We start from the raw sequence: 26518 nt of genomic DNA on the forward strand, positions 1-26518 counted from the left end.
CTTTTCCTTTATAGTTTAACTTTCTCTAGATATTTAGTCTACATGGCAGAGAGTATGGCTGCCAATAGCCATTGATTTTCACATCCTACCATCCAAATAACCAAGGAGACTGTCTGAATCTCTCCTCAGGCCCATACATCCTGAGAAAGCTTGAGTCAGGTGCCCCTGGCTGTGACTAGAACGTGTGTGTGGTACTGTGAAGTGTGTAGTATTCTGGCTACAACTCTGGGTGATAATTAAATCTACAACTGCATAGCCTAATACAGTAGCCACTTGTCACATGTGGCAATTTATATTTAAATATTAAGTAAAATTAAATAAAATTTAAAAATCTTCAGCCACACTGGTCATGCTTCCAGTGCTCAGCAGCCAAGTGTGGCTATTAGCTGCTCTCTTAGAACAGATATAGAACATCTCCATCATCGCAAGAAGTTCTATTGGACAATACTGCTATAGATGAAGAGGAATCTCTCAGAAAAGAGATTAGGGTTAGAAAGGAGTATTTCTTACCATTTGACCCAGCCATCCCATTACTGGGTATATACCCAAAAGATTATAAATCATGCTGCTATAAAGACACATCCACATGTATGTCTATTGCGGCACTATTCACAATAGCAAAGACTTGGAACCAACCTGAATGTCCAACAATGATGGACTGGATTAAGAAAATGTGGCACATATACACCATGGAATACTATGCAGCCATAAAAAATGATGAGTTCATGTCCTTTGTAGGGACATGGATGAAGCTGGAAACCATCATTCTCAGCAAACTATCGCAAGGACAAAACATCAAACACCGCATGTTCTCACTCATAGGTGGGAATTGAACAGTGAGAACACATGGACACAGGAAGGGGAACATCACACACTGGGGCCTGTTGTGGGGTGGGGGAAGGGGGGAGGGATAGCATTAGGAGATATACCTAATGTTAATGATGAGTTAATGGGTGCAGCACACCAACATGGCACATGTATACGTATGTAACAAACCTGCACGTTGTGCACATGTACCCTAAAACTTAAAGTATAATAAAAATAAAAATAAAAGAAAGGAGTATTTCTGAGCAGATAAATCTGTAGGTGTTTCTCATACCTTCTCTGCCATAGTCGATAAAACTGACCCAGACTCTTTGCAACAATTTCTTCCTCTGGCACTTAGAACATTTTTATATTCTCACAATTGCCCTGTGATTCTTCCCCTTTCAGTTTTCACCCTCCCCTAAGTATCTGGACTGTTCCTGTGTTTTGTAATACCACTGTATATTGCTGACTTCTAAATTTACATCTGTCTCAGACCCTTCTTCTTAGCTCCAGACCCACAGACCTAACTGCCTACTTAATATCTCCAATTGGATATATCAAATGTCACTTGGAATTAATACCTCACACTGAATTCTTAATCTATCCTAAATCTCCTTCTCTTTGCATGTCCCCCATCTCAATAAATGGCACCTCTATCTGCACAGTTTGTTATGCCAGAAGCCTTGGAAAAATCCTTGCTATCTTCTATCTTCTTTTGCCTCAGTCTAATATATCCCCAACTCTGATAAATTAAAGATTCAAACTATTTCTTTAATATAGCTAGATTTTTTTTCATTTTTATTGCTACCATTTAATGTCACACTCTCCTTTCACTTTGCTTCTAACATTTATTCAACTTTCTGTTCCTGCTCTAATGTCATCTTCTCACAGAACCCTTCCTTGTCCTCTGATCTGGATTCCACCTTTTACTGTCATCACACATTATGCTTTTGCTTTTCACAAATGTATTGGGTTACATATGTAATTATTTGTTTAGTGTCTAGTCTTCTCTAGCCTCATGTAATGTCTTCTCTAGCTTGATAAAGGCAGGAAATACGTTTGTTTTATTTTCCTGTGAATCTGCTGTATTTAGCACAGGGCTGGACCTTTAGCCCTCAGTCAGTACTTAATACCTTTTCAGAACACATTTTTATGAGCTTTAGAAACTAGTCTTCTTCCCTCTTAATGGTTATGGAGGTCTTTCAGGTTCTGTGTATCTTCTTATGGTTTCAGCTTTGACCCTGAGAATGACTCCCTTTCAATGTTACAAGACCTGGCTCCTCTTCTTGGAGACATGCTTGCAAAATTCACCCCTCCTTCCTGCCTCCCTGGTTTTCCCACAAGAATTCTCTTGAACTCACATGACTTCTTCCTACAGGAGATCTCCAAGCCTGCACCTCCAGCCCATCCAACCACAAAGAACTTTGAAACCTCTTAACCTGTCTTGTCATCTTAGTTCATGCAAATAGCAACCCCTAGAGATTTGTAGTGCACAGCCTGAACAACCACAGGGGCAAACTTCCCTTCCTGTCTCTGAAGTCTCGCTTTATCCTTATTGTCTCACCCCTAGAACTTCAAGGAGCCTCATAACTCATAGCCCAATCCCTACTCTTTCTGTAGACCCATTTTCGAAAATGCAGAATTGCAGAATTGTTCTGCCGGAAGACACCTCCAGAACATCTTACATATCTGAGTGTGTAAATGAGGAAACATAGGTTTAGAAAGTGGCAGGCTAGTCACTACAACCAAGACCTTCTAACTTTCTGTCTGGTGCTCTATGACACATACAGCCCCCACTGTGCTCAGAGGTCCTCATGGAGCTTCCTTTACTAAATGTAAAAGACTAAATTCATTTGCCTACAGTTTCCTTTTCTTTCCTTTCGATCACTTTATATTTTCTGAACTGCCCACACTTACCTTATGCATTTTTGCTGGGAGACCTTTGTTCTTCCTGTTGATCTTACCTAGAATATCTTTCTCTAGTTTTATCCTCTGTTGTGAATCTTGTGTTTCAAGCCTCAAAGCATGTCTGATACATAGCGGGCTTTAATGTATTTGCTGTTGAATGAATGAATGAAACATGTAATTTAGTCAATTTTCCCCATATTGACTGTGGCTAAATTTCTATTGACAGAAGTCAACAAATATCTACCACCATATCCTGAAGTTTGCACCAAAGTGGACAGTACTGAAAAATATGCACCTGATGTGTTTGACTCTCAAAAAGCAGTGATTTCTTAAAGCAGTTGGGAATTTTACCCTATTAATTGCTCACTTGGGTAACCATGCAGTTGATCTCCTCGACTGATCTATCTCCTGTCTTTCCCAAAGCAGATATTGATCCTGATTTTCTCTGATTTGAAGACTGACAAGTAGAGGCAGGTGAGAAAGGAAGCCTGTGGGAGACACAGGGAGAAAGGAAAGTCTAGAAAGACACTAGAAGGCCTGAAGAGGAGAAATTTATACTATGACCTCAACCAGAAACAGGTTAGAGACCTTAGTTCTTAAAAGGGAACTTGTATTGTAGGTATTATTTAAAATGTAAATTGAATCCAAGAATGATTTTAACATTTGGTTTCTGGTCACTAAACCTGGCAATAAGTATAAACAGTTTAAAATAATCACAAAGTCAAATGATTTTGCTAGAAAATGAAGATTTCTTGGTCCACAGCTTGTTGCACTGAGTATATTAACCTATGTTAAGAAGTTAGCTCCACTCTCTTTTAATGTAGTCTGCTAAATAATTTTTAGACATCTCTATAGAAATGAAATTTATTCAAAAAAAGGACACAAATTAGTTTGCAAAATTCAGAAATATAACTGGAAAAGCAAGCATAAAGTCTTACATTAAGTGGTTAGTTGCTTATCCCTTGTTGATGCCTATTTTATTTGAGAGATATCCCAGTTGTGCTATGCTAAGTTTTGAAGGTCTGTGTAGTCTTTAACTTGATCTTTAAAAACAACAGAATTTGAGTGAATGTCAATAAAACCAGTGAATTATAAATATTCTGTCTTCTAGCATGTTTGACTAGGGCTGCCAATAAACAAAATTATATTTCCTAGGACTTCAGGCATGAATACTAATCTATTGAATTTTAATTTAATATTCTATGAGGAACCTAGGAGAGTATCAACAATTTAGACATCTGTTGAGTTATTCTCAGAATAAAACTGGACATGTGAACATTTCAGGAAATGAAATAAAATTCTTAATGTCTTTGTATTAAAATGCAACATATATACATACATATATACACATATATTCACATATATATACATATATATATTACTATTATGACTTTTTACCTAAAAACCCCAGTTACTTGAATTAGCTATTAGGCACAGAATTATTCGACCCTGTCCCCATCCCTCTCCCATGCTCACACACTAGCTAGTATTTCTGATGGTAAAATTAATTCTTGCCACAGAATACAGGTCTTTACTCCCATTCCCCAAATGACCTAAAACCACTAAAATGGCAGAGTTTCATTCAACACTGCAGCTGCTATTTTGTCTCCAGCAGGATGATATAAAGATTAGGCTATAATCAAAAGCAAAAATTCTTGCATGTGCATTGCAGCTAGAAGAGCTCTCTTTATGCTATGTGCCTCTTCACAAATTACAAAGCAAATGATATAGGAGTGTAGCTCCTAAACTGGTCTGTCTGAACTGATAACACTGAATCACTAGTTGGCTGGGGTGTCCACCCAGATGGGAAAAGGAGGTGGATAAAAGGGAAATGAGGTTGTAATGTTGTTGACTTCAGGCCTCAAGGAAGAGACAGCTGTGGATTTTCTTAGGTGAGGAACAATGTCAGAGGAGAACATAATTCATTATAAGACTCATGGGGAAACAGTCAAATGAAGAAGCAACAAAGCAGCAACAAAACCAAACCCAAGTCTTGCCCCACTGTGCAGCTGCAGGACAAAGACAGAACAGAAGCCTGTAATTGGGGAACAAAGTGTTGTTCTTTCGGGCATTATAAAATGAAGCCTTCAGAAATCACTCAATCTTGTCATTCCAAACAGTTTGATGCATTTGTGAAAAAAAGTTTTCCTTTTTTTTTTTTTTGAAAGGAGTCTTGTTCTGCAGCCCAGGCTGGAGTGCAGTGGCGTGATCTCGGCTTACTGCAACCTCTGCCTCCCGGTTCAAGTGATTCTCCTGCCTCAATCTCCTGAGTAGCTGGGACTAAAGGCGCCCACCACCACACCTGGCTCATTTTTGTATTTTTAGTAGAGACAGGGTTTCGCCATGTTGACCAGGATGGTCTCGATCTCCGTGTGATCCACCCCCTCGGCCTCCCCAAGTGCTAGGATTACAGGCTTGAGCCCCCGCGTCCAGCTGGAAGTTTTCTTTTCTTTTTTTTTTTCTTTTTTAGCAGTGTACACCTTTTAAAACTGCAATTGAGTACTAAATAATGGAGTAGTTTTGTTCAAAAGCAATATTTATTTTTCATGAAGATAAGAGGCATATTACATTCGCTATAGAAAATGCTATGAGAGGAAAAAGCTGCATGTTACCGATATGACAAAAAACATAAAAAACTCTACTTATGAAAGTGTTTTGCCCTATAAGAACATATTCAATAAAAGGCATTATTCCAGGTGAATGAGCCATGCGGAAATGTGGATTTATTAGGGTTTGTTTTGAAATGTAATTTGTACGGCCAGCTTTTTATTCCTTTGATGGCTATCAAATAGATTTATTGGCTACATGTTAGAAGTGCAAAAGATAACAGGTAACCAAGGGAGAAGTTTTAATAAAACTCTCAGGAAAGGCAAAGAAAAGTGAGTGAATATGCCTGCTTACATTTCAGCTAATAAATAAAAAGTGCAGATAGGGCTTTAACTGAAAACCTTGCTGGTTATTGCAGCCTGGAAGGTTTATTGAAAACTGGGTAGAACACTCTCATTTTTTATATTTACAGCTACATTGTGAGCTGTTCAGGTTAGAGTGATGTAACGTTCATTTTGACTTTGGTACAGGAAACTGATGTTTTCACAGGAAACTTGCAAAGCAGTTATGAAGAGGAAGAGCGTTCTTAATTATTAGTGTCTGCCTGAGCTATTTCTGATTGTGTTCTGGGATTTTAGAGAATTGAACAATAGAGTATTTAATTTTACCACTCCCCTCTTGAGTAAAAACATCAGACACTTTTAGGAAAGTTTTAGAAGGTACATCTTCAATAAGCAGAGATCTTTCATCTCAAATAACTGGGAAGAATTGCACTGCTTAAGAATAGTTGAACTTGGACCTGAGAGCACCATACTTAGAAATCTAAGTATATTTAGGTCACTCATCTAACACTGGGACTTTACCAGCCCTGTCACCCAAACTGGTTGTAGTTAGTAGGACCACAAAGTCACTGAAGAAATCTGCTTTCCTTTTAACTTTCAAGGCAATAAGAAAAATGTAGTTCTCTGTTAGCAGTCCCTGAGCTATCTGAATTTCGGTGTTTCTCTCTTAAGCCTCTTGCTTTGGAGGATGATGAATCATTTCCTACTCCTGGAGTTAGTCTCCTTTAAAACAGACACAAAGGAGGCAGAGAGAAAAAATTACTCTAAATACCATTAACCAATGTAAAACAGTTTTCTATTAAACAGTAGGACAGCAGGGCCAAACTTGTGTTACCACAATTGACAACTGGCTTCTTAAAGCAAGCTCCATAGATTAAGAACCATAGCCTCTAGGACTGATTTTACTTGGTTCAGAAACAGGAAATCAGAACAGTGAGCAAGTATACGATTAGAAATTTACATTAATAAAATGTGATTTTTTTGATACACAAAAGCTTTTAGGTTGTAAATAATCTATGATGGCCTGCCAAATATAAAATGCCATTATAAATCCATGTCTATATTTCAAAAAGACGGGAACACAAAAGCAAGATACATTAAATTAATTGGTGTAGTTTGGAGAGTTCGAATCCATTATTAGATATGGATCCTATCAAATATCCCACCTAATTTCCAGTTACGTCGATGTTTCAATGTTCACTTTTTAAGTTCTCAACTACCCACATCTTTCACTGAACACCATCTGGAAAGGTTCATACAGAATGCCCATGCCATTCTTGAAAGGATTTGCTTTTGTGGAGGGGTTTTGCAAAGAAAAACAATTCAAAATTCTGTTACAGCTTATACATTGTCTTTTGTAGGACTATAATAAAAAACCTTCTAAGTAAGTTTTTGAGATAGGTGTTAAATGAATAAGCATGCCTCAGCAAAATGCATAAAAAACACAATGATTTAATTTCTAAAGCACTTATATTATTATGGCATGGTTTTGGAGACAGGTTATTATAGTCCACATAGGTAAGTATGCAGTGCTTCTCATGGAAAAAATGCTTAGGTATTGGCCTTTTCTCTGGAAACCATATTTTTCCTTTTTTAATAATCAACTAAGATGTATATGTAAGAAAGCCTCATCTTTTGATTTTTAATATACAAGATGCTTTCTTTAAGAGAGCAAGATTCAAAATTGTTTTGTGTTTCAAAATTTAAAAATAAATTTATCTCCTAAATTTTCTAAAGACATGTTTCATATATTTGACCATCCCTTATTTTGGCAAAGGATTTTAAGAGTCTAACTCAAACATATGTAAGCTCTGGTGTACCTGGTTATATATACCAAAAAAAACATTTGATCTATATACACATAGACATGAATATATTTCTGTGTGTGTTTGTGCATATATAACCTCAAACACTATTATTAAATGCAATCCTATATTCTTAGGTATAGAAGTTGATGATATACCTTTCTACTTGCCATGGCATTAACAAAGCAAGGCTGAGACTCAGCAACCACTTGTGTTCATTGCATTGCAGGCTAGTAGTAAGTTTGGTTGCTGGTAGGAAAAGGGTCTCTTATCTCACCCTCCTTAAACTAAAGGTTCTTTCAGGCTTAATGTAAGGATGTGCACATTCTCTTATCGAGGTGGTCTTGAGCTGCAGATACAATCACATCGTTCATGGTGATCCAACTGGATGTCAACTAGAGCCATGGTCTTAGCTCTACCCCTCCTCTTGATGTGGCCAGGCTCAAACTGTAATACCTAGGACAAGAAGCACATCTCCTGTTAGAAAGCCTTTGGAGTTCAACTCAGTCAGATGCCACCTACTTATTACCTTTTTGACAACTAGTTCTTAGCCCTTTGAGAACCCAACAGAAGCTATGGGCTTGCTATTAGAATGCACACGTTGCTATTAGAATGTACACATTTTTCAAATAATTGACTCCCTGAAGTGGAGGAATCAATTGATCCCAGAGTAATGCCCAGCATAACTTACCTGAAGTACCCAGATGATTTCATGTGTCTTAGCAGGTATTTATTAATAGCTTTCTAAGGGCCTGCTTTGGGCCAAGTACTGTTCCAAATATTATCGTAAAGATCCTTCTGACCAAGGCATGTGTTATAGATGAATACAATACTTGAGCATATTATTAGCATGGAGAGGAAAATGAATACAACCATGAATAAAATATGCTGGTATATCTAAATCTTTGGTTGAAGTAAAACATGTTGCCCTGGAGTTGCTGGCAAGATGGCCGAACAGGAACAGCTCTGGTCTGCAGTTCCCAGCGAGATCAATGCAGAAGGCGGGTGATTTCTCCATTCCCAACTGAGGTACCCAGTTCATCTCACTGGGACTGGTTAGACATTGGGTGCAGCCCACGGAAGGTGAGCTGAAGCAGGGTGGGGTGTCCCCTCAGCCGCGAAGTGCAAGGGGGTGGGGGATCTCCTTCCCCCAGCCAAGGGAAGCCATGAGAGACTGTACCAGGAGGAATGGTGCACTCTAGTCCAGATACTGCACTTTTCCCATAGTCTTTGCAACTGGCAGACCAGGAGATTTCCCCCAGTGCCTATGCCACCAGGGCCCTGGGTTTCAAGCACAAAACTGGGCGGCCATTTGGACAGACACCGAGCTAGCCGCAGCAGTTTATTTTTCATACCCCAGTGGCGCCTGGAATGCCAGCAAGACAGAACCATTCACTCCAGGGATCCAAGTGGTCTGGCTCAGTGGGTCCCACCCCCATGGAGCCCAGCTAGCTAAGATCCACTGGCTTGAAATTCTCCTGCCAGCACAGCAGTCTGAGATTGACCTGGGATGCTTGAGCTTGGTGAGGGGAGGGGCGTCTGCCATTGCTGAGGCTTGAGTAGGCGAGGCGGTTTTACCCTCAAAGTGTAAACAAAGCTACTGGGAAGTTTGAATGGGGCGGAGCCCACCGCAGCTCAGCAAGGCCGCTGTGGCCAAACTGCCTCTCTAGATTCCTCCTTTTTGGGCAGGTCATCTCTGAAAGAAAGGCAGCAGCCCCAGTCAGGGACTTATAGATAAAACCCCCATCTCCCTGGGACAGAGAACCTGGGGGAAGGGGTGGCTGTGGGTGCAGCTTCTCAGACTTAAACATTCCTGCCTGGAGGCTCTGAAGAGAGCAGCGGATCTCCCAGCACAGCATTTGAGCTCTGATAAGGGACAGGCTGCCTCCTCAAGTGGGTCCCTGACCCCCATGTATCCTGACTGGGAGACATCTCCCATTAGGGGCCAATAGACATTTCATACAGGAGACAGGGTCTGGAGTGGACCTCCAGCAAACTCCAGCAGACCTGCAGCAGAGCGGCCTGACTGTTAGAAGGAAAAGTAACAAACAGAAAGGAATAGTATCAACATTAACAAAAAGGACATCCACTCAGAGACCCCATCTGAAGGTCAACAACATCAAAGACCAAAGGTAAATAAAACCAAAAAGATGGGGAAAAACCAGTGCAGAAACACTGAAAATTCCAAAAACCAGAACTCCTCTTCTCAACCAAAGGATCACAACTCCTCGCCAGCAAGGGAACAAAACCAGATGGAGAATGAGTTTGAGGAATTGACAGAAGTAGGCTTCAGAAGGTGGGTAATAACAAACTCCTCCGAGCTAAAGGAGCATGTTCTAACCCAATGCAAGGAAGCTAAGAACCTTGAAAAAAGGTTAGATGAATTGCTAACTAGAATAATCAGTGTAGAGAAGAACATAAATGACCTGATGGAGCTGAAAAACGCAAGACAAGAACTTCATGAAGCATACACAAGCTTCAATAGCCAAATCGATCAAGCAGAAGAAAGGATATCAGTGATTGAAGATCAAATTAATAAAAGAAAGTGAGAAGACAAGATTACAGAAAAAAGAGTGAAAAGAAACAAACAAAGCCTCCAAGAATTATGGGACTATGTGAAAAGACCAAATCTACATTTGATTGGTGTCCCCCAAAGTGATGGGGAGAATGGAATCAAGTTGGAAAACACTCTTCAGGGTATTATCCAGGAGAATTTCCCCATCTATCAGGGCAGGCCAACATTCAAATTCAGGAAATATGGAGAACACCATAAAGATACTCCTCGAGAAGAACAATCCCAAGACACATAATCTTCAGATTCACCAAGGTTGAAATGAAGGAAAAAATGTTAAGGGCAGCCAGAGAGAAAGGTTGGGTTACCCACAAAGGGAAGCCAATCAGACTAACAGCGGATCTCCCGGCAGAAACCCTACAAGCCAGAAGAGAGTGAGGGCCAATATTCCACATTCTTAAAGAAAATAATTTTCAACCCAGAATTTCATATCCAGCCAAACCAAGCTTCCTAAGTGAAGGAGAAATAAAATCCTCTACAGAGAAGCAAATGCTGACAGATTTTTGTCACCACCAGGCCTGCCTTACAAGAGCTCCTGAAGGAAGCACCAACATGGAAAGGAACAACTGGTACCAGCCACTGCAAAAACATCCCAAATTGTAAAGACCATTGATGCTATGAAGAAAGTGCATCAACTAACGGGCAAAATAACCAGCTAGTGTCATAATGGCAGGATCAAATTCACACATAATAATATTAACCTTAAATGTAAATGGGCTAAATTCCCCAATTAAAAGACACAGACTGGCAAATTGGATAAAGAGTCAAGACCCATCAGTGTGCTGTATTCAGGAGGCCCATCTCACATGAAAAGACACACATAGGCTCAAAATAAAGGGATGGAGGAAGATTTACCAAGTAAATGGAAAACAAAAAAAAAAAGCAGGGGTTGCAATCCTAGTCTCTGATAAAACAGACTTTAAACCAACAAAGATCAAAAGAGACAAAGAAGGCCATTACATAATGGTAAAGGCATCAATGGAACAAGAAGAGCTAACTATCCTAAATATACATGCACCCAATACAGGAGCACCCAGATTCATAAAGCAAGTTCTTAGAGACCTACAAAGAGACTTTGACTCCCACACAATAATAGTGGGAGTCTAAATAATAAATAGACACTTTAACACCCCACTGCCAATATTAGGCAGATCAATGAGACAGAAAATTAACAAGGATATCCAGGAGTTGAACTGAGCTCTGGACCAAGCGGACCTAATAGATATCTACAGAACTCCCCACCCCAAATCAACAGAATATACACTCTTCTCAGCATCACATTACACCTATTTTAAAATTGACCATGTAATTTTAAGTAAAACACTCCTCAGCAAATGCAAAAGAACAGAAATCCTAACAAACAGTCTCTCAGACTACAGTGCAATCTATTTAGAACTCAGAATTAAGAAACTCACTCAAAATCACACAACTACATGGAAACTGAACAACCTGCTCCTGAATGACTACTGGGTAAATAACAAAATGAAGGCAAAAATAAAGATGTTCTTTGAAACCAATGAGAACAAAGACACAATGTACCAGAATCTCTGGGGCATATTTAAAGCAGTGTGTAGAGGGAAATTTATAGCACTAGATGCCTACAAGAGAAAGCAGGAAATATCTAAAATAGACACCTTAACATCACAATTAAAAGAACTAGAGAAGAAAGAGCAAACAAATTCAAAAGCTAGCAGAAGACAAGAAATAACTAAGATCAGAGCAGAACTGAAGGAGATAGAGACACAAAAAGCCCTTCAAATAAATCAATGAATCCAGGAGCTGGTTTTTTGAAAAGATCAGCAAAATAGACCACTAGACAGACTAATAAAGAAGAAAAGAGAGAAGAATCAAAGAGATGCAATAAAAAATGATAAAGGGGATATCACCACCGATCCCACAGAAATACAAACTATTATCAGAGAATATTATAAACACCTCTATGCAAATAAACTAGAAAATCTAGAAGAAATGGATAAATTCCTGGACACATATGTAGCCTGTATGGACCTTGGGGGACAGAACAAAAGGGGGTGAATGCAGAAATAAAAGACAAAGACAAAAGAGTATGTTTGGAAGTAGGGGTCAGGGGGCAACTTGCCTCTAATGGACAAGGGCCCTGAGCTTTACACCACCCTCTGTATTTATTAGGCAAAAGAGATAGCGAGAGGGTGAGTTGGAAGAAGAGGTCAGCTGTTAGGTCCAGAGTAGGCCTGCAAGACTGCATTCCTCAAACAATAGGCTCTAGATGTCCCAGTAGATAACCTCAAGGAGCCAGTGCCAGGGAGTGATGGCCCTCAGCAAACCTTCTAGGGCAGGCACAGAAGTAAGTTTGCCCACATTCTGTATTCACGATAAACAGTTTGCTGTTTGATCAAGTAGCCTCCAGTGGAATGCTGAGTTGGTCATGATCCCTTTGGCCTTTTTGGCTCCCAAAACACATACACCCTCTCAAGACTAAACCAGGAAGAAGTCAAATCCCTGAATATACCAGTAACAAGTTCTAAAATTGAAGCAGTAATTGATAGCCTACCAACCAAAAAAAGTCCAGGACCAGACGGATTCACAGCCAAATTCTACCAGAGGTACAAAGAGAAGCTGGTACTATTCCTTCTGAAACTATTCCAAAAAATAGAAAATGGGAATCCTCCCTAACTCATTTTACGAGGCCAGCATCATCCTGATACCAAAACCTAGCAGTGACACAACAAAAAGAGGAAATTTCAGGCCCATATCCCTGATGAACATTGATGTGAAAATCCTCAATAAAATACTGGCAAACCAAATCCAGCAGCACATCAAAAAGCTTATCTACCATGATCAAGTTGGCGTCATCCCTGGGATGCAAGGCTGGTTCAAAATATGCAAATCAATAAATGTAGGCCATCACATAAACAGAACCAATGACAAAAACCACATGATTATCTCAATAGATGCAGAAAAGGCCTTTGTCAAAATTCAACAGCCCTTCATGCTAAAAATTCTCAGTAAACTAGGTATCGATGGAATGTATCTCAAAATAATAAGAGCTATTTATACAAACCCACAGCCAATATCATACTGAATGGGCAAAAACTGGAAGCATTCCCTTTGAGAACTGGCACAAGACAAGGATGCCCTCTCTCACCACTCCTATTCAAGATACTATTGGAAGTTCTGGCCAGGGCAATCAGGCAATAGAAAGAAATAAAGGGTATTCAAATAGAAAGAGAGGAAGTCATATTGTCTCTGTTTGCAGATGACATGTTTGTATATTTAGAAAACCCCATCGTCTCAGGCCAAAAACTCCTTAAGCTGATAAGCAACTTCAGCAAAGTCTCAGGACACAAAATCAATGTGCAAAAATCACAAGCATTCTTATACGCCAATAATAGACAAACAGAGAGCCAAATCATGAGTGAACTCTCATTCACAATTGCTACAAAGAGAATAAAATACCTAGGAATACAACTTACAAGGGACACGTAGGAACTCTTCAAGGAGAACTACAAACCACTGATCAAGGAAATAAGAGAGGACACAAACAAATGGAAAAACATTCCATGCTCACAGATAGTAAGAATCATGAAAATGGCCATACTGCCCAAAGTAAATTATAGATTCAGTGCTACCCCCATCAAGCTACCATTGACTTTCTTCACAGAATTGGAAAAAACAACTTTAAATTTCATATGGAACCAAAAAAAGAGCCCACAGAGCCAAGACAATCTTAAGCAAAAAGAACAAAGCTGGAGGTATCATGCTACCTGACTTAAAACTATACTATAAGGCTACAGTAACCAAAACTGCATGGTACTGGTACCAAAACAGATATATAGACCAATGGAACAGAACAGAGACCTCAGAAATTACACTGCAATCTACATCCATCTGATCTTTGACAAACCTGACAAAAACAAGCAATGGAAAAAGGATTCCCTATTTAATAAATGGTGTTGGAAAAACTGGCTAGCCATATGCAGAAAGCTGAAACTGGATCCCTTCCTTACACCTTATACAAAAGTTAACTCAAGATGAATTAAAGACTTAAATATAAGACATAAAACCATAAAAACCCAGAAGAAAACCTAGGCAATACCATTCAGGATATGGACATGGGCAAAGACTTCATGACTAAAACACCAAAAGCAATGGCAACAAAAGCCAAAATAGACAAGTGGGATCTGATTAAACTATAGAGCTTCTGCACAGCAAAAAAAAACTGTCATCAGAGTGAACAAGCAACCTACAGAATGGGAGAAAATTTTTGCAATCTATCGATCTGACAAAGGCTAATATCCAGAATCTACGAAGAACTTAAACAAATTTACAAGAAAAAAACAACCCCGTCAAAATATGGGCAAAGGATATGAGCAGACACTTCTCAAAAGAAGACATTTATGCAGCCAACAAACATATGAAAAAAACCTCATCATCATTGGTCGTTAGAGAAATGCAAAACAAAACCACAGTGACATACCATCTCATGCTAGTTAGAATGGTGATCACTAAAAAGTCAGGAAACAACAAATGCTGGAGAGGATGTGGAGAAATAGGAACACTTTTCCACTGTTGGTGGGAATGTAAATTAGTTCAACCATTGTGGAAGACAGTGTGGAGATTCCTTAAGGATCTAGAACCAGAAATATCATTTGACCCAGCAATCCCATTACTGAGTATATACCCAAAGGAATATAAATCATTCTATTATAAAGACACATGCACACATATGTTTATTGCAGCACTGATCACAATAGCAAAGACTTGGAACCAACCCAAATGTCCATCAGTGATAGACTGGATAAAGAAAACATGGCACATATACACCATGAAATACTATGCAGCCATAAAAAGGATGAGTTCATGTCCTTTGCAGAGATATGGATGAAGCTGGAAACCATCATTCTCAGCAAACTAACACAAGAACAGAAAACCCAACACCACATGTTCTCACTTGTAAGTGGGAGTTGAACAATGAGAAGACATGGACACAGGGAGGGGAACATCACACACCAGGTCCTGTTTGTGGGTGCGGGACTAGGGAAGGGATAGCATTAGGAGAAATACCTAATGTAGATGACGGGTTGATGGGTGCAGCAAGCCACCATGGCACATGTATACCTATGTAACAAACCTGCACATTCTGCACATGTACCCCACAACTTAAAGTATTAAAAAAAAAACACACAACATGTTGCCCTGATGAAGGTCATTAGTGGCCATAAATAAGTAAAATGTGTTTTATGTTTTTATATATTTGTTAACATATAATATCCTTTACCATTTAAAACAAATCAGGTTCCACTAAAATCTTTGTATATTAATACCTGTGTATCAATACAGCATTTCTTAAATCAATAAGTATATCATTAATTTTTAAATTCATAAGTTTAAACATAATTTCTTAAATTAGTAGTTAAATAGAAGCCAACCCTTCTTCCCTGCAGTGGCCTTCATTTAGTGAAATATTAGCTATTACATAGACATATACTTGGTAAAATTCCATTCTTGTTTTCTAATATACATAGTCAGATTAATATATTATTTACTTTATGTTCTTAGATCCCGGTTAGCCTTTATTTTTGATTTTGTCCCATTTTCCTTTTAGATTCTAAACTTGGTCATGGCACCATTAAACAATTCTATAGCATTTTACAGTTTTTGAATAATTTGCACAGGCACTATTTTTTTTTTTCTTTTTACCCTCAGACAAATCTTTCACATGGTGGAAAAGGTATCATTATGCCCACTTTATACTGAGATTCTAAAGGAGGATAAGTACCTTGTCCAGGGTCTTCCCCTGACTTGGACCTGGGACCAGGACCTGGGATCAGGACATTTAAGCTCCTAGCATATTCTGACTTGAGGCCTCTCTAACATGCCTTCAATTTCCTTTTATGTCTCAAGGGTGTGTCTGGCTCCCCATGTGAACCGGCAGGGAGACCTGTGATGCTTTGCTTGAACTTTTGTCCTAGGTGAAAGTTAGATGCCTGGAGTCCCCTGCACTCATGCATCACGGTCTGCACATTCCTTTCATTTAGAATTTTGCCATGCTGTTCCATAGACGGTCCAGTGAGGCAGGGAATAAATCACTGCATTTGTTTAATGTTCAATCAAGTTAGGGCACTCTGCTGATGCAGAATGGAAGATGGAGATCTGTTTGTAGAAAAACTTCAAAAGACTTGTCAGTACAAAGTTGGCAGGGGGTGGAGGAAGGAATACCCTAAGAAAGTTCTTTAGGGAGACAAAGTGTCAGAAATTTTGATATTGGTAAAGCTAGTCCAAAGGCCAGTTTTGATAGTTGATTCTATTATCATCTCCTGCAATTCTATTGCACTTACAATAGGTACCTTGGAAGGGGTTGGGGTTTGGACTCCCATAGCTTTGCCAAGAATTTCTCCAAGATGAATTAATTGCTATTTTCCAAGACTATCTGGCCTGTAAAAGAGATTTGAGAACTAGGGGATGCAGGAGAGGGAAATTATTTCTAAGAAGCTGAGCATATGATAAATATTCCTTGTTTAAAGAAGACTGTTATCAAGGCCTAATAATTTGTGATGACTGGCACCTGTAAAATCAGAGCTTTGTCGATTTGCTTTCTCATTTGACGGCAAACAAAAGTGTGTGCTTTGGGATAAGAGCAAGAGCCTGGGCAGTTTTTCTAACTGGTCTTCTGATTGTTCAGGGATTTTCTCTGTGTTTTATATTAAGCAACGTGAGCACGGTATATATGTGTTTTGCTGATAAGAAGAGAAAAATGAATTGGCAGACACCTTTTCCCAGACAAGACAGGAGAGCACTATTTGAACAAAGTGGAAATTGGACTGCCTTACTGGATGATCACAGCACTGATGTTCAAAGCTTTCAGATCATGTAATAGTCTTAGGTTCAGGTACACAGCATTGAAAGAAGGAAGAAAGCAAGGCTGATTTGAGGGCATGTAGAAAAATGAAAAGCCTTTATCTGAGAAAGCAAACTGGCGGTTATAGGTTATCTGGTCACCTTTAAAGGGAAGGAACACTGAATTAATTATAGGAGCTGAAGGGCACTTGTTAATAGGTACCCTCACACAACACTTTCTTATTTTCTGAGCTATGATTCACAGCTGGAAGCACACAACCAGAAATAACAAATCCACTGGCGGGCAACCAGCATTTCTTAACACCTATGGGTGCAAATGGGGATCTTGACTCCTCTCCACTCTGGAAAACCACACAAAGCCAGGGAAACTTGACGTCTACTAAATGGAGTGTGACTGAGCCAATTGGTGGGTTTCATACCACCATACAAAATCAAAGATGCTCAGTTTTGCAAATTACCTCATCACAAAAGATATTTAACTACAGTTACTCACCTTGTTGCCAATAAACGTCTGAATAAATCTTCACCATAAAGCTATTTACACTAATAAAACAATACCAGGCAGAAAAGCTATCTGCTGAGTCTGGTTCTTGTTTATTGAGAATATAAAAAAAGGCTGTTAAGGCCTTGTAACAGTTCTCAAATTAATGGCTGACTTAGGAACACAAGTACGTATTTCAGGACAAATGCATTATATAAACCCAAATCATTAAGAGTTTAAGATTCTTCCTTTTTTTTTTTTTTTTTTTTTTTGAGATGGAGTTTCAGTCTTCTTGCCCAGGCTAGAGTGCAATGGTGTGATCCCGGGTCACTGCAACCTCCACCTCCCGGGTTCAAGTGATTCTCCTGCCTCAGCCTCCCAAGTAGCTGGGACTACAGGCACGTGCCACCACGCCTGGCTAATTTTTGTATTTTTAGTAGAGATGGGGTTTCCCCACGTTGGCCAGGCTGGTCTTGAACTCCTGACCTCAGGTGATCTGCCTGCCTCAGCCTCCCAAAATGCTGGGATTACAGGCATGAGCCACTGCGCCCGGTCTCTTCCTAACTTCTAAACCAGGCTGTTTTCAGCACACACAGTTTCTCAAGGAAAAAAAAAAGCTTCTCTTTTGATCTCTTTCATGCTTATAGCCTTTATAAAAAATGTACACAGAGTCAATATTTTTAAGGGATGCTAGTGAATTATTCTGAAACCTAAGTGACTACAAGCAAAAATATCTTGAGAAGGGATAACATATTATTTCCTCCCTGAGTAATTACTCAACCTGCAGGCAATAATCACAGCAGTGGCTGGCATTGTAACAGAAGGACTGATATCAAGTCCCAAGACACAGTACTCAGTTAAAAAGACATAAATGACAAACAGCTCAACAGTGTTATATTAAGAAGTTAAGCTTGAAGGTGACAAAAAGCTGGGTTATAGTGGGAGTTTATAACATGCTCATGAATTTTGAAAATGCAATCATGATATCTGTGCATATTTACTTCAAATAGATGCGTTCTGTGAGACTCTAGGGTTACTATGAGGTGTACTCAGTTGCAGTTTTAACTTTACAGAACTAAATAGTTAAATGATTTTGACAGCACCTTAGAGGATTATTGACTACATGTTCAGCCTACCAATTGCAGAAAACATAATGGAAAGCCTGGGTGGGCACTACATTTCAGAGCATGGCATTAGCATTGGGTATCACTCATGACACAGATGGGCCTTGTCTGCTTGGGGAGTACCTTGCCCCATGTGGCAAGTTTGCCGCTTTGGCAGGAAGGCCTGATGTGAAGCTAGATTGAGAAGGGAGAAGGTGTGCAGTTTGTAATACTTAAACAAGGAGTTCACTAACTTGTAAGTGAGTCATCAGGGAAGAAATGTAATCAGAACTGAGAAAGCCAGACCAGGCTCTCATCTAATTCCACCCACATCTGTCTTGTACTTTATAGTCTTCAGATGCCTTCATTCACCCAGTATCCCCAGGTGGTAAGAAGCACATGTGTTATCATTGCCATTGTCAAGATGAGTGAATTAACTTTTTTATAAGCAGTCTATAAACATTTACTGTTCTGGATCATATCTTTATTCTTTTTGCATTTACCTAGCATTTCAACCACCAATTTGTTTTTATTCCTTACACAATTTCATTAAGATTTTGGGGGCAGGATAAAGTGTAACAACAGATAATGAATATGATGTAATTTCAGGTTTGCCTGGGAACTCAAAATTGTAGGTTATTATGGGGATTAAGTGAGGAAACCTGAGGCCCTGGGAAGTTTTAAGTGGCTGGTCCTCAGTTGCCCCTCCATGTGGCAAAGCTGGAACCAGAACCCACATCTTTTCTAGTCCTGCAAGTTTTCTGCTCTATTGCCCTCTCTTGGTAGGAAAACATCACAGACCATGAGGCTTCACTTAAAGGTGGAGAAAGGACAAGAGGCAGAGAGACTCCACAAGTTCTAGCTATGAGGTTTCCAAAAAAATAACAGAAAAGAGATTTTCTTGACTTTTATTATGGTTAGGTATAATCATGACCCAAAAACTCCCTCCCTATTGCTAGAGAAGGAAAACTCCTTGCGCGAAATTTATTTTCTGTTTCTTTGGTCTCAATTTGAAAATTTAGGTACTTTTTTTTCAATAACAGACGTTTCAAACATGTAAAAACAAAGTACTATTCTTTTACCTCAAATCTGAAGGTCAACAGTGTATTACTCTAACCTCATATTTCATGTATAAATACAGATGCTCGTTGACTTATGATGGGGCTATATCCTGATAAACCCATTGGAGGTTAAAAATATTTTAAGTTGAAAATGCATTAATACCCCCCCATAAACCCACTGAAAAGTAAAAAAAAAAAAAATCTAAATCTAACCATCATTGAGGATAATCTGTACCAATTTATTAATACATCTCCTAACTCTTAAACTGTGATAAAATGCAAATGTTTAATACAAAATTCTACCTTAGAACAAGAAGAAGTCATTTTTTTTTCATTTTGTCTAGATGTCTAAGTGATTCTAGATGCTATAAATGTGCCAGAATCAGAGATAGGTATAGGCTTGTGCCATTCAACAAGGTAGTCACGGCCTTGTGTGGTAATTTAAATTTCAATTAGTTAAAACTAAATAAAATTAAAAATTTAGTTTCTATTTGTGCTACACACATTTCAAGTGCCCAACAGCCACATGTTGCTAGTGACTACCATATGGAACATTGCAAATATAGGTTATTCCTATCACTACAGGAAGATCTATTAGACAGTGCAGGTGGTTAGGTCAAGCATCCTGAGAAAATTATGAGAGGAAGAACAGAGGAAATTAACATCTATCTTTATCTCTTTGATGCTTCCTATGTTTTTGGCTGTTGACTAAATGGATACAGCCAGGGCACCAAATCATGAAAAACAGTTGAGTAATAATTTAATAGGTCACTATACTTTTAGGAAATATCCTCTTCCTTCATTATACACTATCAAGAGAAGAGAACTGAAATAATAGTTTCTTCTAATTGTCTACACAATACGTTTTTCTGGAATCCTCCCTTTAACAAAAATCACTACCCAAATTATCTTTTATATTCTATGATGGGGTTCAGGACACTGTACTCCCAAATGTTTTAAGCTGAAGGAATTTGAGAAAACAAGAAAAGCAGAAAGATCACTCTGACCTTCCCCTCACCCTCCATCCTGAAGGAAGTCATAAAACCTAGGATTTTCTGACCTTCCCATGTAGCAAGTCATAAGACCCTCATGCGAGAGGTGCCCCTGTTATACCCAGAAGAAAGAAGAATTCCCCCCCGCCTTTTTGTTTGAGATGTGGTCTTACTCTGTCACCCAGGCTAGAGTGCAGTTGCATGATCATGTTCTGCTGCAACCTTGAACTCCTGGGCTCAAGCAATTCTCCTGCCTCAGCCTCCCAAGTAGCTCAGACCACAGACACATCCTCCACACTTGGCTACTTAAAAATAATTCCTTTTTTTTATTATTTATTTATTTTTTTTTTAGAGATGGGGGGGTCTCGCTATGTTGACCCGGTTGATCTTGAACTCATAGCCTCAAGGGATCATCCCACCTTGGCCTCTCAAAGTGCTGAGATTACAGGCATGAGCCACTGCTCCTGGCCTAAGAATCCTTATCTCCAAAGACAAAGGTAGAACAAATAAGAATCTGAACAAACAGGCCTTGCTAATTTTCCCCAGTTTATTACCATTAGATCATACTCTGCCCTATCATATTTCTCCACAACTATCCACACTTTATCAAACTTACTGTAAAAAATTATCAGGTTGAACCACTTTTTTGGGTCTTCCTTACCAAGGCCTCTGTGTCACGTAAAACATATTCAATAAATGAGTACACTTTTCCTTTGTTATTCTGTCTTTTGTTATAGTGGCCTCAGCCATGAACCTAGGAAGGGTGGAAGAAAAGGTATTTTTCCTACTCTATATCTAGTATATTCCAAGAAGCATAGAATGATTGTTTAGAAAGAGGAAAAATACTTCAACAGGGTACCTACAAACTTTTGAGAGCAAGAAATAATAAAGACAGTCACATTTTACTGCACAGTGAAAACCGCTCAAAACCCTACAGGACAACTAATATGACCTGTGAAAAAAGCAATATTAGCTTCGTTAGAAGCTTTCCAGTTTCCCAGATTTAAATTCCTTAAGGTTGAGCACTGAAATATTTGTGGAGAATCACACAAGCCTGTTATGTGACAAGGTCTCATTACCCCCTTAAGGGTGCTCATCTTTCACAGAAACTCATTTCACATCTCATCAGTTGCAACCATGAGCTGGGGAAACTGGTTTCTCATTTCTCAGAGGTAAGAATACAGACACAGAATTCAGAATAAAGGACTAGAATTTTTCCCTAATGAGACTAGGCTCAAGCAACCCCCACTTCTGGAAATGGAATAAGCCTTTTGCTGTTTCCCACAGGGCACTTGACAGTGATAATTGTGACACATCTCAAAGGTATTTCAGGAGTCTCAGGGGCATATGACAGGAGTGTTTGTTCCAGGTAAGCAGTTACTGGCTGGTGATGGATGTTTATTTTTCCTTTCATCCAGCACTTGACAGAGTGATTTTATAGAGCTTTGCAGAGTTCTAGAAGTAAAAATATTAGGACACATGTCTTAAAGAGATGCTTTAGATACAGTTTCAAAGGATGCCAATGTTTCAAATCCACTCATGCGACTGAACAAAGAGATCAAGAGTTTTCCCCTCTACACATTAACTGAGAACAGAAATTTGCAAGTAATGGTTATTGTGTAGAGAGATAAGAAAGGAACTAAGAGGAGGAGGGTAGCCAGGCCTTCAGTGTTCTTCAAAACTAACTGGCTGGGAGGCAAGGGTCTTTGGGGGTCTATGGTTCACTCTGCTCTTCCCACAATAAGTAATTTTTTAAATCAAGCTAAAAATTCTATCTGAGCATAGAGTCAAGATAAAAATAAAGCACTCCACAAATACATCAAAGTCCTGACCTTGAATGTTCTTCCTCACAGTTACTACTAGGTAGAGACCTTGTCACTTCCTAGATTATTTTAACTATAACCTGATTACTGCATTCTGCATTTATCCTTGGGGTATGATTAAAGGTTATAAAATTCAGGTTCTTAGAAGTGAAGGACAACATCCAATCTAGAGTTCATCAGTTCATACAAAAATAAAACACAATGAACATAGATGATAGCATTCTCTAGATATGAGAACATTTTTTTTCCTTTGAAAACAGTGGGGTGGATCAAGCAATTCTTATGACTTAAGAAAATATGTTCCATGTAGGGCTAAAATAGTGTTTCCCTGTCTGAAGTAAGTATGGTCATGGTGGAACAATTTCCTACATTTTCCAAGTTGAAAATATCAATTATTACATACTCATTTTTGCTTAATCCAGAAGTTACCTCCTAACTTACTACGATTTTTGTGTTGTTTTCAGAATAGAAATCAAAACCAAAACACCACCACCACCACAAAAGCCTCCAAAAAACAGTTTTACAAAGCTGGAGATTTTGTTTAGAGAGAACTACCTATTCCTTTGTTGTGGTGGACACTTTTTAAAAATTATTATTATACTTTAAGTTGTGGGATACTTGTGCAGAACGTGCAGGTTTGTTACGTAGGTATACACGTGCCATGGTGGTTTGCTGCACCCTTTAACCCATCACCTACATTAGGTATTTCTCCTAATGCTATCCCTCCCCCAACCCCCAACCCACCGACAGCCCCCAGTGTGTGATGTTCCCTTCCCTGTGTCCCTGTGTTCAACTCTCACTTATGAGTGAGAACATGTGGTGGTTGGTTTTCTGTTCCTGTGTTAGTTTGCTGAGAATGATGGTTTCTAGCTTCATCCGTGTCTCTGCAAAGGACGTGAACTCATCCTTTTTTAAGGCTGCAAAGTATTCCATGGTGTATATGTGCCACATTTTCTTTATCCAGTCTATCACTGATGGGCATTTGGGTTGGTTCCAAGTCTTTGCTATTGTGAATAGTGCTGCAATAAACATATGTGTGCATGTGTCTTTATAGCAGAATGATCTATAATCATTTGGGTATATACCCAGTAATGGGATTGCTGTGGACACTGATGGAGAGCAACTCAAACAGTAATTCCTAACAATGATGTTTGCTTCATATTTTAGTTTATATTTTAAAACATATTTCTGCATGATGTTTAACATCTTGCAAAATATATTTCATATGCATTATTTTATTTGACCCTCAGAGCAACTCTGGAAGGGGTTATCTGATATATTAATTTTTCAGTCCTATTTAAATATGTGAAAACTGAGTCAAAACTTTAGTGACTTGCATGTGTTTCCACAATAATAAAGTAATTAGAGCTGCTGCCTATGTCACGGAAGAGCTCTAACTCCTCTTCAGTCTACTCTCTCTCTCTCTCTCTATGTGTGTGTGTCTGTGTATATATATATATATATATACACAGACACACACACACATATATATATATATATATATGTAATTTTTTTTTTGAGATGGAGTTTCTTTTACCCAGGCTGGAGTGCAATGGCGCGATCTCAGCTCACTGCAACCTCCGCCTCCCGGGTTCAAGTGATTCTCCCGCCTCAGCCTCCTGAGTAGCTGGGATTACAGGTGCCTGCCATCACGCCTGGCTAATTTTTGTATTTTTAGTAGAGACGGGGTTTTGCCATGTTGGCCACGCTGTTCTTGAACTCCTGACCTCAGGTGATCCACCCACCTCGGCCTCCCAAAGTGCTAGGATTACAGGCGTGAGCCACTGCGCCCGGCCTATCTTTTATGCTCAATAAAGTGCTATATATTACTAGTGATAAGAAAAACCATAGACCCTGGAACCAGTGGATTGGAGTTGGAGTCCTGGCTCTGTGATTTACTGACCAGGCCATGCTGGCCAACTTACTGATCCTCTTAGGGCTCAGTTTACTCACCTATAAAAAAAGAATAAAAATAGTGACATTTTTACAATATTGTTGATGGGGTGCTAAATGAGCTAATGATTACTTACAATAGTTTTTGTCAAGCAATAAATGCCATTGTTACTATTATTAAGGTTATTGTGCTCTTTAAGTTTTTGTTCCTCCTATATTCTTTTACTTTTGTCTATTTTTGCATAATCCAAGAGCTGATTCCCTGAGTAGCACTTAATAATAGTTAAAATAAACTGAGCATTTCCGGTTGAAACATACTTCATATTTAGAAAATAAAAAGATCTTTGACAATTTATATTTTGCTATCTTTATTGTGCCAAATTTATTAAATGATATAATTGAATTAAGGTTTTGCTTATGAGATTGTGCCGTCATATCCTGTAAATGAATAACATCATATTTCTCTTTTTTTCTGTCTTTCTGCAAGTAGGTCAAGCTCTGAAATTACTGTATCACATATTTGATTATATATTCTAACAATGTTGATGTTGATCCACATGGTGTATTGTTCAAATTAGAAAAAACAGTGCCTTCGTCAGGATAGGATTAACCTGTCATCAGGACACTTGGCTTGGCAAACCTAGTGTGGGTAGAATTTCTGCTCCTAATCAAACCCTGGCTGGGTGCCCTTGTGCAGTGAACAACCTGAACAACTGTATGCAATGGCCCTGTCTTCCTGAATCCTATAGATTAAGCATTGCAACAAGAAATCTAAGAATGACATACCTCATGATACTTTTTCACGGTTTTCCCTGAATTGCATGTGCAGGACCTCCAGTTGACAGTTCCACAGCCACAATTTCCTCCACAGCGCTGCACGAGGAGGCAACGTGGAAAGAAGACCACATTGGCCAACTTCAGCTCTTCTCTTATATTGACCGAGTAATTCCTGGGAGTGCAACTGTAACGCTTGGCATCATCATTGAGCCTATCCAGGTCAACTGTAAGCAAATACATGCACTGTGTAAGCAAACACAACAGTAAGCACAATTGCTCAGCATGTGTTTTGGGGAATAGAGTGGGAAGATTCTGTGAGGACAACTTTAATCCTGGGATTAAATCCATCCTCAGGCTCTCAATTACTGGGAACCTAAAGTAAAAGACCTAATTTCTCTCTTGATCCCATCTACCCTTTGAAAATAACAACAAAAACAAAACAAAACAAAAACCTTGGCTAAAATTCATGTCTTGGTTCAAATTTCCTTGCATCTTTTTTATGCAAAAAAAGTTCAGAGGAAAGAAAATGAAACATTTGGCAAATTAAAATAATTGCCTTTATCTTCAAAAAGACAAAATAAACTGCTTCTTCATTCTAAATAAATCCTGACTCTAAGCCATCACTTAAATATAATTTAAATTATATCTAGGACACATTAGAGACAACCACTGTATTATATTTACCTGGCAGTGAAATTTCACACATAAATGTAATAAAGAAAAGGGTTTTAGTTTTATTTTTAACTTCAAAGTTAATCAACATGTTAGAGAAAATGATTTTTTTGTGTGTGAATATGGTGCATATTTGTGCACTGGGTCCTAGATGGCAGTATAGCATAGTGGTTAAGTGCTTTGGAGCCGCAGTAAAGTTACAACTGCCTTCAATCACATCATGGCTATGTTTCCTTTTAGTTGGAAAGTTATTTAATGGCTCTGAACTTCTGCTTCCTCATCTATAACATGTAATCATTTGAAGAATTGAATGTAACGTGCCTGGCACTCAATGCCAGCTATTCTTACTAATCTTGATTCATCTGAATCTCCCCCTCTCACATTCTTTTCCTTTAAAGTCAAATGGACAAAATTTAAAAATATACTACGTCTTTCTCCCTCTTTATGTTTTCTTCTTTGGACATTATATAAATGATTATCAAGGGATATGGTCAGTGGGACTTCTATGAACTAAAAGCACCACAATATTTTCAAAGCTAAGTCATAAATATTTACTTGAATTCAATTCGCATTATTGTGTTACATAAATTAGATTTGATTTCGTGTTCTCCAAGTCCATCCAATTATCCATCCATTTGGCAGCCAAATCCTCTTATTGGTGCATACATACATGAGTATCTTCTCACAAGAACACAGTTAGAAGCAAGTCCTTTTGTCTGCACAGAACCCACCACCCTTTCCCAATGCACGCCCTTGTGTGCACCAGGCCACCACAGAAGGAATCCCATGAATGTTAGGCAGTTATCACCATGTTCATTCTAAACTCTAGCCCTGGTAAATGTCTTAGGCTTAAACTGAAACTGCTTAAGGAGAAGGAAGAAAAAAAGCCTTTGGGAGCA

The 26518-nt window shown here is 38.8% G+C and overlaps 1 protein-coding gene and 1 long non-coding RNA gene across 3 annotated transcripts in view, besides 2 other annotated features; both read right to left on the reverse strand.

Annotated features, from left to right (window-relative positions):
• The window catches only part of PDGFDDN (PDGFD downstream neighbor), a 45563-nt gene extending 40648 nt beyond the window's left edge, over positions 1-4915 (reverse strand). The window contains exon 1 of the long non-coding RNA XR_947960.3: positions 2725-4915. This is a non-coding gene — a long non-coding RNA (PDGFD downstream neighbor). The remainder of the gene's footprint in view (positions 1-2724) is intronic.
• Positions 2096-2185: an enhancer, noted in NCBI's record as "active region_5455". NCBI's record gives its function as "activates an Ori minimal core promoter by ATAC-STARR-seq in GM12878 lymphoblastoid cells {active_cell/tissue: GM12878}" and the evidence as "EXISTENCE:reporter gene assay evidence [ECO:0000049][PMID:35858748]".
• Positions 2606-2775: an enhancer, noted in NCBI's record as "active region_5456". NCBI's record gives its function as "activates an Ori minimal core promoter by ATAC-STARR-seq in GM12878 lymphoblastoid cells {active_cell/tissue: GM12878}" and the evidence as "EXISTENCE:reporter gene assay evidence [ECO:0000049][PMID:35858748]".
• Positions 4916-5233: 318 nt separating the features above from the next.
• The window catches only part of PDGFD (platelet derived growth factor D), a 256959-nt gene continuing 235674 nt past the window's right edge, over positions 5234-26518 (reverse strand). For both annotated transcript variants that reach the window (NM_033135.4, NM_025208.5), the window contains exons 6-7: positions 24957-25171; positions 5234-7864 (exon numbers count right to left, since the gene is read on the reverse strand). In NM_033135.4, the coding sequence (NP_149126.1) occupies positions 7739-7864; positions 24957-25171 (341 nt within the window). In that variant the 3' untranslated portion in view covers positions 5234-7738. The remainder of the gene's footprint in view (positions 7865-24956; positions 25172-26518) is intronic.

This window comes from Homo sapiens, chromosome 11 (assembly GCF_000001405.40).
Source record: "Homo sapiens chromosome 11, GRCh38.p14 Primary Assembly".
Lineage (NCBI taxonomy): Eukaryota > Metazoa > Chordata > Mammalia > Primates > Hominidae > Homo > Homo sapiens.